The 13,200-nt window shown below is 37.1% G+C and overlaps 1 protein-coding gene across 7 annotated transcripts in view; it reads left to right on the top strand.

The window, feature by feature from the left end:
* The window catches only part of PCMTD1 (protein-L-isoaspartate (D-aspartate) O-methyltransferase domain containing 1), an 81,612-nt gene extending 69,127 nt beyond the window's left edge, over positions 1-12,485 (top strand). For 4 of the 7 annotated variants that reach the window (XM_047421325.1, NM_001286783.2, NM_052937.4 and 1 more), the window contains one exon: positions 9,342-12,477. In XM_047421325.1, the coding sequence (XP_047277281.1) occupies positions 9,342-9,709 (368 nt within the window). In that variant the 3' untranslated portion in view covers positions 9,710-12,477. Of the gene's footprint in view, positions 1-2,698; positions 3,132-9,341 lie in introns of those variants that run through there. The other 3 variants (NM_001286782.1, NM_001363193.1, XM_047421324.1) reach the window with 3 other exon arrangements.
* Positions 12,486-13,200: the final 715 nt, after the last annotated feature.

Below are 13,200 nucleotides of genomic sequence, written 5' to 3'. Positions count from 1 at the left end.
TGATGAACCTAATGGGGCAAATGAGAGCTTGAAATGGAGAGGAGAGGTGGTATTAATTGGTTTGACTTAGATCATAGTTTTTTTAACCATGAGGTAAAATTCTTTACCAAAAAGGAACCTCTTGACTTAGTTTGCCTTTTAAATGAACTTATTGCATAGGAATTTGGGTTTATAGAAAGATACAATTTTTTTTTCAGTGTTCATTCTACTCTCTTTTGAGCTGCATGACTTTGGGACTTTTGGGTGTTTGTGAAAACTATATGGAGTAATATTTGTTTTGTTTTGTTTTTACGATGGAGTCTCATTCTGTCACCCAGGCCGTAATGCAGTGGCACGATCTCGGCTCACTGCAATCTCCACCTCCTGGGCTCAAGCAATTCTCCTGCCTCGGCCTCCTGAGTAGCTGGGATTACAGGCTCCCACCACCATGCTCGGCTAGTTTTTTATATTTAGTAGAGACCGGGTTTCACAACCCTTACATTAGGCAGACCCAACCACCCACCCAGTTTCAGGCACTGGCACCAGCCTGCCACCATGGGAGTCTACCTGTAAATACATGGTGAATAGAGCCTAGTCAATGTGTGTGACTCCCAGACTAAAGTAGGCACATCCCAGAGGAAAAGAGAAAGGAATGACAGCCAAACATGGCCAGCTGCTTTTTACACACCTGAAACATACAAGCCTAGCCGTTCCTCCACCCTTGGGAAGAATGTGTGCGATGATGCAGAGAGGCTTGCATGGCTCTGTGGTGAGTGTTGCTTGCTGAGAGTGTTAGTGGCATAAATGTTTCTTCAGCTTGACCTTGGGAGAGTGCTTTGTAAGCATTTTTCTCTAATGGGAGCCACCATCAAAGGAGATTTGTTGACCACTTTTTACAGATTGGTGAGAGTCATAGATCTGATTCTGTGCTCTTACTGTGATCTCATTTAGAAAGAAATTAAGCAGTCAGTTCTAAAAAATTTTCAACCTTTCGTAATTCAGAAAATGTTAGCAACCAGTTTTTTCAAATATACTTGTTAGTAACGTATACTTTCGCTACTTACAAAAAGGACTTTAATCCATATATAACAATCCATATAAAACAAGAAAATGAAAGGTAAAATAAGAATGATAAAAAACAAAGGATTATCATAAGGGAGACTGGAAACATGAGGTTACTGTGTTGAAATGTTTATTTAAACTTCCTGTCTAGTCAAAAACTGGTATCACTGGGTATTCTCTGGGACACAGAAAAGTACAGGACATCCATTTCTTTCTAGCACCAGAATCAGTGATTATCACTTGGCTGTGTATGCATTATATGATTATTTCCATGAAGTCTACTTTTTAGTAGACTACAGATGCTCCTTGACTTATGGTGGAACTATGGCCAGATAAACCCATTGTAAATCATAAATATTGTGAGTGGAAAATGGATTTAATGCTGGCAACACAGCAGATGGTCCCCAACTTAGGATGGTTCGACCTTACTTTGGTTGCAAAAGTGATACTTGTTTAGTAGAAACCAGAACCCCATCATGAGACATAAGGAGCTCCTCAGCTTGAGGTGGGGTTACATCCTGATAAACACATTGTAAAGTGGAAAAATCCTACATTGAACCATTATAAGTCAGGGACTATCTGTGTACTCTATATATTTATGCTATATTAGTACTATTTATTATAGTAGACTATACTGTAGTTACTGGTCCCTACTTCTTGCAACAATAGTAACAAAACTGTTTTCTCCTTCCTAGTTTTCAAACACTAGAATTATAGTTTATGATAATTTTGTTTAAATTATCCTAACTTGATGGGAAGTAATAAAAGGAAGTAATGAAAAAAATTTTCTGACACAGCTTGGCTTTGACCGTGACCCAACCATAAGTATCATACCTAGGAATGCTTATAGAATCCCTTGTTGATTTCTGTGCAGCAGCTGTTTATCTATTTTACTTTGTAACTGACACTGTTAAAATCTCAGAATTCTATCAGTAGTCATTCCATTTTTTTATCTGATAGTTTTCTTAGTTTATTTTAGAAGCATTTTGGTTATAAATATGGTTTTATAATAACATAATTCATTAATGACAGATAATATGCTGTGAATGCACAACTTGCATTTTGCCTCATTTTAAGAATTTCAACACAAATCTGAGTAGCTGGTAAGACTGCCATTGGTTGGATTGAATGACATTTGTAACTGTGAATGTAAAATAGGAATAAATTCAATAGAATAGGGTAAAATGGAGAGGAGCCTAAATTAAAAAAAATCCATTATACCTCTGAAATATTTACAGACTAAATGATATATCTGTAAATATTTCATCAAAATAATCTGGGGGTGGTGATGGGAAGAGTGATAATTGTTGAAGCTGAGTGCCCAGATATATGGGAGTTATTAAACCATTGACTCTTTTCTGTGTATACAGTCATCCCTCCTTTTTCTTGGGGGTATGTTCCATTACCCTCCAGGGGATGCCTGGGCCTGCAAATAGTACAAAATCCTGTATATATATTATGTGTTTTTATCTGATAACTGAGGCAGCTGCTAAGTTACTAACAGGTGGGTGGTATGTATGGTGAGGAAATGGTAGACAGAGGGGTGATTCACATCCCAGGCAGGATAGCATGCAATTATACTACACTACTCAGAACAGCTCACAATTTAAAACATATGAATTGCTTATTTCTCAATTTTTCCATTTAATATTTTCAGACCTTGGTTGACCATAGAAAGCGGAAACCGTGGAAAGTGAAACTGTGCATAAAGGGAGACTACTGTACTTGAAATTCTACAATAAGGAGAAAAGTCATCAGTAACCAACAGTAACTTATAAAAATAAGTCAGGAATTATGTGAATTTCTAAAAAATAAAAGCTTCATATAGTAATATTCAGAGCATGAAAATAGTTTTGAAAATTGATATTTGCCAAAATTTAATAGGATGTATGGAGAATAAGTTTTTGTGGGTGTGTAGAAGTAAGTTAAAATAGCTTTCTGTTGAGAGGACATTATTCCTTAATTGCAGGAAATTAAAATATGAAAGAACGCGACTCCAAAAATCCCAAAAATAATATATATATAAATTATTTGCCAAATGTATCTTGTAGTAATCAAGTTGCTCATATTAAACAACTTACTAAAGTGGAGTCATAATTTTTCATCTTGATTCACCACTAATTTTATTACATTTAAAAATCCTATTTCTTTCTGTGGTTTTTTTGTTTGGGGTTGAGGAGAAGACATTCTAAAAAGAAAGATGCATTGTTTAAAGTTCAGGGGCATAAGAGACTTCATAAATTTTGGGACTATATCACATTGAGCTATATGAAGTTGCTGTTTTTGAAGGTCATAAAAGACCCCCAAATCATTAGTTTTATATGGTTCAACGTAAATAAAATGCCGTTTTCAATCTTTGTTAACAAAAATGATTTCTGACTCCTAGGCTCCTATACAATCTACATACAGCCTACCTTTTGGGAAACAAATGGAGCCTAATGTGTGTGTTAGAGATAACCTGAACTGTAGTTTTGGAGTAAAAGTTTATTTTATTTTTTATTATATTTTAAGTTCTGGGGTACATGTGCAGAATGTGCAGTTTTGTTACATAGGTATACATGTGCCATGGTGGTTTGCTGCACCCATCAACCCATGACCTACATTAGGTATTTCTCCTAATGCTATCCCTCTCGTCCCCTAGCCCCCCATCCCTTGACAGGCCCTGGTGTGGTGATCTTCCCCTACCTGTGTCCATGTGTTCTCATTGTTCAACTCCCAGTTATGAGTGAGAACATGCAGTGTTTGGTTTTTGGTTCTTGTGATAGTTTGCTGAGAATGATGGTTTCCAGCTTCATCCATGTTCCTGCAAAGGACATGAACTCATCCTTTTTTTATGGCTGCATAGTATTCCATGGTATATATGTGCCACATTTTCTTTATCCAGCATATCATTGATGGACATTTTGGTTGGTTCCAAGTCTTTGCTCTTGTGAATAGTGCTGCAGTAAACATACATGTGCATGTGTCTTTATAGTAGAATGATTTATAATCCTTTGGGTATATACCCAGTAATGGGATTGCTGGGTCAAATGTTATTTCTAGTTCTAGATCCTTGAGGAATCGCCACACTGTCCTCCACAATGGTTGAACAATGGTTGAACTAATTTACACTCCCACCAACAGTGTAAAAGTGTTCCTATTTCTCCTCATCCTCTCGAGCATCTGTTGTTTCCTTTTTAATGATTGCATTCTAATTGGTGTGAAATGGCATTTCATTGTGGTTTTGATTTGCATTTCTTTAACGACCAGTGATGATGAGCATTTTCGTATGCTTGTTGGTTGCATAAATATCTTTTTTTTTTTTTTTTTTTTTTTTTTGAGACGGAGTCTCGCTCTGTCGCCCAGGCCGGACTGCGGACTGCAGTGGCGCAATCTCGGCTCACTGCAAGCTCCGCTTCCTGGGTTCACGCCATTCTCCTGCCTCAGCCTCCCGAGTAGCTGGGACTACAGGCGCCCGCCACCGCGCCCGGCTAATTTTTTGTATTTTTAGTAGAGACGGGGTTTCACCTTGTTAGCCAGGATGGTCTCGATCTCCTGACCTCATGATCCACCCGCCTCGGCCTCCCAAAGTGCTGGGATTACAGGCGTGAGCCACCGCGCCCGGCCATAAATATCTTATTTTGAGAAGTGTCTGTTCATATCCTTTGCCCACTTTTTGATGGGGTTGTTTTTTTCTTGTAAATTTAAGTTCTTTGTAGATTCTGCATGTTAGCCCTTTGTCAGATGGATAGATTGCAGAATTTTTCTCCCATTCTGTAGGTTGTCTGTTCACTCTGATGATAGTTTATTTTGCTGTGCAGAAGCTCTTTAGTTTAATTAGATACAATTTGTCAATTTTGGCTTTTGTTGCCATTGCTTTTGGTGTTTCAGACATGAAGTCTTTGCCCATGCCTGTGTCCTGAATGGTATTGCCTAGGTTTTCTTCTAGGATTTTTATGGTTTTATGTCTTAGATTTAAGTCTTTAATCCATCTTGAGTTGATTTTTGTGTAAGGTGTAAGGAAGGGGTGCAGTTTCAGTTTTCTGCATATGGCTAGCCAGTTTTCCCAACACCATTTATTAAATAGGGAATCTTTTCACCATTGCTTGTTTTTGTCAGGTTTGTCAAAGATAAGATGGTTGTAGATGTGTAGTGTTATTTCTGAGGTCTCTGTTCTCTTCCATTGGTCTGTATATCTGTTTTGGTACCATACCATGCTGCTTTGGTTACTGTAGTCTTGTGGTATAGTTTGAAGTCAGGTAGTGTGATGCCTCCAGCTTTGTTCTTTTTGTTTAAGATTGTCTTGGCTATGCAGGCTCTTTGGGTTCCATATGAAGTTTAAAGTAGTTTTTTCCAGTTCTCTGAAGAAAGTCAGTGGTAGCTTGATGGGGATAGCATTGAATCTATAAATTACTATGGACAGTATGGCCATTTTCATGATATTGATTCTTCCTATCCATGAACATGGAATGTTTTTCCATTTGTTTGTGCCCTCTCTTATTTCCTTGAACAGTGATTTGTTGTTCTCCTTGAAGAGGTCCTTCACATCCCTTGTAAGTTGTATTCCTAGGTATTTTATTCTCTTAGTAGCAATTGCGAATGGGAGTTCACTCATGATTTGGCTTTCTGTTTGTCTGTTATTGATGTATAGGAATGCTAGTGATTTTTGCACGTTGATTTTGTATCTGAGACTTTGCTAAAGTTGCTAATCAGCTTAAGGAGATTTTGGGCTGAGACGATGGGGTTTTCTAAATATACAATCATGTCATCTGCAAACAGAGACAATTTGACTTCCTCTCTTCCTATTTGACTATGCTTTATTTCTTTCTCTTGTCTGATTGCCTTGGCCAGAACTTCCAATACTATGTTGAATAGGAGTGGTGAGAGAGTACATCCTTGTCTTGTGCTGGTTTTCAAAGGGAATGCTTCCAGTTTTTGCCCATTCAGTATGATATTGGCTGTGGGTTTGTCATAAATAGCTCTTATTATTTTGAGATACGTTCCATCGATACCTAGTTTATTGAGATTTTTTAGCATGAAGGGGTGTGGAATTTTGTCAAAGGCCTTTTCTGCATCTGTTGAGATAGTCATATGGTTTTTTGTCATTGGTTCTATTTATGTGATGGATTACGTTTATTGATTTGCATATGTTGAATCATCCTTGCATCCCAGGGATGAAGCAGACTTGATTGTGGTGGATAAGCTTTTAGATGTGCTGCTGGATTCGGTTTGCCAGTATTTTATTGAGGATTTTTGCATCGATGTTCATCAGGGATATTGGCCTGAAATTTTCTTTTTTTGTTGTGTCTCTGCCAGGTTTTGGTATCAGGATGATGCTGGCCTCATAAAATGAGTTAGGGAGGATTCCTTCTTTTTCTATTTAAATTTAAAATAAGTTTTCCTAGCAGTCAGGATTAGTATTGTCTTATCTGTTAAATCCTAATCTCATAACTGGAGGCATTGGAAATGAGACCGTTAAGGAATAGACAATATGGAGGATGTTTAAATAATTAGGACTGAGACTTATCTAAAAGGTTTTGTGTCATTCAAAAGAACTTTTTTTTATTAATTGTTTGAGACAGGGTCTCACTCTATTGCCCAGGCTGGAGTGCAGTGGCATGACCATGGCTCAGTGCAGCCTCGACCTAGCCAGACTCAGATGATCCTCCCATCTCAGCCTACTGACTAGCTGGGAATACAGGCGTGTACCACCATGCCCGGCTAATTTTTCTCTTTTTTGTAGAGACAGGATTTCACCATGTTGCCCAGAGTGGTCTCAAGATCATGGGCTCAAGTGATCCACCTGCTTCAGCCTCTCAAAGTGCTGGGATTACAGGCTTGAGCCATTGTGCCTGGCCCAAAAGAACTTTTAAATGAAGCTCACATGAATGCTACTTTAGGAGTCCTGAGTGTTAGCAGCTACTGAAGTCAAGTCTGAATCTTTTTCCATGCTGGGTCCAGTTGGTCTTGATAAATTTCTGGTATTCCTCTGATGATTTAGGATTGAAAGATACATCGCTGGAATAGCACACAGTGTTGGCAAAGGAAGAACATAATTACAGTATTGGCAAAGGAAGAACATAATTACAGTGTTGACAGAGAATACCAGTAACAGAAAAATTCAAGAGCCAAGATCAGCGGAAAAGACTGATATAGTTTCTATTTCCTAGCTCCTTTATAATTTCTAAAACTTTAGGGTAGATTTATTCTTCACTCTGTCCCTTTACAGAGCCCTCTCAGGCTTAGTTCTGGGTGCTTTCTTCTACTCTTGGTCTTTGCATGTCACGATGGGCTGATGACATGAGATTAGCATCTCCAGCCCCGACCTTGCCCCTGAGCTCCAGAGTCATAATCTTATGGTGGCTTATGGTGGGAAAGGCAGCACACACTCTGCAGTCAAAACCTGCATTCAGTACGTAATCTCCTAGCATTCAGTTATTACTTGTAAAACATTGAAAATGGTGACGAGTATAACATTGTAGTTATTATTATCTCTGAAATCTCCACTTTGGATAAATGATAGACAATTCACATCTAACACAAAGTAAGTACACTTTAAAATTTTCTTCTCAACCTGTTCTCCCCTGTATCTTTGTCATGTCAGTCACTGATATCAGCATCTGCCCAGTTGCTCAGGCCAAAACCTTAGATGTTTTCCTTGATTATTTTTTTTTCCCTCCCTCATCCCCTACAGCCAATCCATTTCCATCCTATCTTCAAAATATATTATACCTGAAATTTGTCCATCTCTCCCATCTATACTGCCACCCTCCGTCAGAGTGTGTTCATATTTCTAGTGGATTACCAAAATATTCCAGCTGATCTCGTGCTCCCAACTTCATCTGCACTAGTCTTCCTTCGGCTCCTTGGACATGCTAAGCTCATTTACCTTTTAGGTTCCCTCTGCCCGCAAGATGTTTACATGGCTGTTATATCATCTAGATCTTAGCTAGGACAGGATCTTCTCAGGGAGACCTTTATGACCACCCAATAGAAAGCAACCAGGGCCAGGCACGGTGGCTCACGCCTGTAATCCCAGCACTTTGGGAGGCCAAGGTGGGCGGATCACGAGGTCAGGAGATTGAGACCATCCTGACTAACATGGTGAAACCCCATCTGTACTAAAAATACAAAAAATTACACTGGTGTGGTGGCACATGCCTGTAGTCCCAGCTACTTGGGAGGCTGAGGCAGGAGAATCGCTTGAACCCGGGAGGTGGAGGTTGCAGTAGCTGAGATCACGCCACTGCACTCCAGCCTGGTGACAGAGTGAAACTCCGTCTCAAAAAAAAAAAAAAACAAAACCAGAACCCCACTTTCTATCATATCATTGGCGTTTTGATTTTTTTCTTGTATTCCTTATTTTTCTTCTTTATAATTGATTTTTGTTTAGCAACTCCTCCCTGATTATGCAAGTTGCATAAGTGCAGGGAGTGCAGACTTGGTAGTCTAAATCATCCAGTGTGTCTGCATGGGTTCTTTAACAGTGCCTGGCAGATATAGGTTAATACTTACTTGATGATGAATGTTAAATAACTTAGTGAACAATTTTGGAAGATGGGCAGAGCAGATGGTTTTTGTGTATTTTTACATGTAGAGGGCCGGGCATGATGGTTTACACCTGTAACCCCAATATTTGGGGAGGCTGAGATGAGAGGATCACATGAGCTCAGGAGTTAAAGAGACCTGCCTAGGCAATATAGTGAGATCCCGTTTCAACAAATAATTTAAAAATTATCCAGGTGTGCTGGCGTGTGCTTATGTCCCAGCTACTTGGGAGGCTGAGGCAGGAGGATCACCTGAGCCTGGGTGGTTGAGGCTCCAGTAGGCCATGATTGTGCCATCACACTTCAGCCTGGGCTGTAGTGAGACCTTGTTTCAAAACAAACAAACAAAAACTTCATAGGGGATGGGATCTCACATCTGTTGTTATGAATAAGTAGTACTTTTCATATGATTTATACATCAAAAAGTATAAAAGATACACAGGATAGTCTCTCTCCTGGTCTTGTCTCCTAATTACTTCACAGTCATGTACCCTGTTTCCAAATTCTTATGCTTCCAGAGAACTTTTATGCATGTAAATGCCAACACACAGACACACACACATGCCCCTGTACATTTTAACTTCAGTGCCATCCATCGGTCCTTGGCATATAATGACTACTCCAAAACCTTTGTTAGATGAAAGGTAGAGTTTTCATATTTTCTGTATTTTCTAAAATATGCTAAGAAACACATTTTGTTCTATGAAAAAAATAAACAATAGATAATGTTTTATTGTTAATATTTTCTTTCTTGCGTTTTATGTTTGTTTTTAGCTCCCTGTGCTGTCAGGAATCTACAGGACTTGGCTCGTATTTACATTCGACGCACACTTAGAAATTTCATAAATGATGAGATGCAGGCCAAGGGGATTCCTCAAAGGGCTCCACCCAAAAGGAAAAGAAAGAGAGTTAAACAGAGAATTAACACTTACGTATTTGTGGGTAATCAGCTTATTCCTCAGCCTCTAGACAGTGAAGAGGATGAAAAAATGGAAGAGGATAACAAAGAAGAGGAGGAAAAAGATCACAATGAAGCAATGAAGCCAGAGGAGCCACCTCAAAATTTACTGAGAGAAAAAATCATGAAGCTGCCCCTCCCTGAATCTTTAAAAGCTTACTTGACATATTTTAGAGACAAATAACTTAGATCAAGAAGAAAAATGCCTACTGATAATTCCTTTAGTCTTGAAAATGTAGCATTTGTTAGGAGTTAAAAGAGAGAATTATTTCTTTCATCAGAGCAAATTATAGTGGAAAAAAAATCACTTGTTTCTGTCAGTAACACAAATGATGTATTCAGTGAATAAAAGAATCCCTTTTATAAAATCTATTTTTCTTTAAATCTTGGAAAAATGTTGTTTTAGCTCAGAGTGATTTCAAAGTGGAATGCAACAGTAGTCAAGACTTGTGTACTATAAATCCTTTTCTGATTCCTTACAGATTTGTAGTGATGAGGTTTAGATTTAATTTTATATATGGTTTAAATAATTGTTAAGCTTATATAACCTGATCTGAATTGCAGTTGTTTGCATTTCCTCTATGAAAACTTCATTTATCTAATAAGGAAGTCAAATGCTTTGTAGACTATTTACCTTACTTTTGTTGCAATCACTGTTGTTGGGTTGCTGTATATATATTCCGGGCAATATATGAGTGCAATAACAATACAAGATATTGAATAATTTAGCTTTAAAAAATCCCACAAATTTTATGAAATTTTACAGCCCTGCTACTTTTGCTTTTGAATCTCTTGCCAAAAGACATGGGTAAAATATCTGCCTCTCTCATAGAGATTTTAAGAGCACAGCAAGTGAATTATTAAAACAAAGTCTATACTTAATACAACTCTTTATATGGACCCTTTACATTTTCAGTATTTAAAAAAATGAGGTTATCTTAACTCTATAGAATTTTAAAAGTATATTTAGAATTGTTTTTTCTGTAGTTCACTGTATAAAGTATTTGGTTTTTTAAAAAAAGCAAAACCATTGTTATGTGTGACTCTTGATAGGACACAGAACGAGTGAATGAGCATGAGTGAGGCCACTTTCTTGGATGGCTGTAAGTAGCAGGGCCAGGGTAGACCTGGTCAGCGGATGCACTTTAGCAGATGGAACTTCTAGTTTATCTGAATATTTATCTTTGACAAGGTAGGGCTGAGCCTACATTTGCTTTTGATCTATCTAGTATAAGAAATATTCACAGAAATTGTATGTAGATACCCTTTGTTTTGAAAATGCTGTTCAGAATCATAGTGTAATCTTTGGGACCTATGCCATGTTCATTTCACTCCTTCCCATATTTTTTGTGTTTCTTTTGGTAAAACTATAATGGTTTTCATTTTTTACTTAATATCACACAGTTAAACTGTCCATATTTGAGCTTTATTTTAGCTTATCAGTGATAAAAAACAGGTAGTAACTGCCATTGTTTGTTTGTTTTCCTAATAAGGCCTGAAAACAGCCATTCCTTGTTAAGAAAGTGTACAATGTAACATATTTGCTAGAGTTACATGGATTATATATTTCTTAAAGGGAAAAATTTGAGAGTATCATGGACTACCACCAGCATTATTATTACAGTAGTTACTCAGATTTGGTTAAGGAAGCCCAAGCAATGTATAGTGAAAGGATTATTATCTCTCTGCTAAGATTCAGATATTGTTTCAGAAATCTCAGCTCCAGTAATTCCACAACATCTAAAAACAAATGTTTGTGATCATGTGTAAGCATGAAATTGTTCCAAGTAAGTGAGGATATTTTAGTTATGTGAAAGACAGTTTCATGGAAGGTATTTGTTTTATACCAGTGGCTGGGATGGTGGAATTGGGGTTATTTCTACAATTATTCTTAGACGATTACTAAACTGTTAAGAAATGCCCCATATCATTTTTGTATCTAGGAAAGAAAAAAATCAGTTTCATACTGTTGTCATCTGTCAGAAATGCTCATTTTATTTTGAATTAAATGTGGCTTTTGAAGTACCTAGTTACCTTGAATTCCTGGTGACCACATGTTTTTATCTGGAAAACCTGGAGAAAGTTATCTGTCCCATCTCCCCTGCTTGTTTTTTTTTTTTTTTTTGGTTGGAGCTGCTGTTTAGATGATGCTTTTACTATGCAGGAGAGAGTTTTTGTTAAGGATATATTTGAAGATTGGCTTTTCCATATTGTCCTTCATTCTTTGACCATGGCAAAGTGTACAGTAGATTTTCATGATCATTGCATATTTCTTGTCATTGAAATGTATCTTTTATGTTTTTAAATGCATTCATTTTACACTTGTGAGTTTATCATTGACTTTAAGAGGTAGAAATGAAAAATGAAAATTAAAGCTAAAGCCTTTTTATCTATTAATGCAGATATATTAGAATAAGAATATTTTGGGTTTGTGTTTATTTTTTAATGAATTTATGTTTACTTGATATGGAAAATTACGCTTTATAGGTGGAAAAGTAGCAAATAAAGATTAAGTAAAAGTAAGTGAAAATGATGGGGAATATAGTATTGGAATTTTATAGCTAGTTAAAACAGTAAGTATCATCTAATTTGGGTGTTTATTTTGCAGATGAGAAAACAGACCTAGAACCGTGGCATGTTTTGCCTGAAACATACAGTGAGTTAGAGACAGGGCCTAAGATAGCTTCTAGCATCAGATCAATCCCAAGAATCCATCAGCAACCTCAGACCAACCCAAGAAGATAATTTAAATCTATACTGCTTATTGGTCAATATATTTGGTTCTAGTATTAATAAAGAAAAATGTTATTAAAATAGCATACATAGTAGTAAAATAAAATACAAAAAGTGTGTTGATTTATAGCTGTTTGAGATGATAAAAGTGAAGCAAAGCCTGTTAAATCATTGGAAGACTTGGAAAATTATTTTAAATAAACAATTACATGTAATTAAGCATTTTTCTCCCATGGCCTGACTTTTATGTTTGTCTTCTTCTTTTTAAATTTAGGCAATCTCAGTACACCTATGGATATGCTCAATTATGGCATACAATTGTCTTTATTTGGACATCTCACTGTCTTTTGACTATTGCCACTTCTGAAGAGTATGGAAGTTTTTTAAAATTTATTTTTATAAAATAGGTAGGGAAATTTATAAAATATTCATGAAATATAAGAAATAATTTAGTGTACATGTAGGTACATGTGTGTGTACCCATTAGGTTCAACTAATAGCTTTACAGTCTCCTGTGTGCCCCTTCCCATCCACATCTTAATCCCTCCCTTCTCAGGAGGAGGGATTTTGTGTTTATCATAATCTGCCTTTTTGTTCTCAATCACCTGCCTGCATCTCTAAACAATGTATTTGGCTTCATATATGCTAGGATCCTACTGTACGCATTCAGCAGCTCTCTTTTTCACATTACCTTTCTGAGATTGCCCCATGTCGTATGTTGTTCTGTTACATTCACACTTCACAGTTTATTCTACTGTTGGTGGACATTTTTTGTTCCCTCGAATAGTTCAGTTGTGAACATTCTTTTATATGTCTTGTGACTACATGTGTGAGAGTCTGCTTAGGGTGTACATCTAGGAGTAGAATTACTGGGTCATAGGAAATCATTTCTATTCACTTTTACCTAGATGGTGCAAATTTGCTTCCCAAAATAGTTTAACA

Source organism: Homo sapiens, chromosome 8, assembly GCF_000001405.40.
Source record: "Homo sapiens chromosome 8, GRCh38.p14 Primary Assembly".
Lineage (NCBI taxonomy): Eukaryota > Metazoa > Chordata > Mammalia > Primates > Hominidae > Homo > Homo sapiens.
The sequence above is the reverse complement of the archived record's forward strand: the minus strand, read 5'-3'. Positions and strand labels throughout refer to the sequence as shown.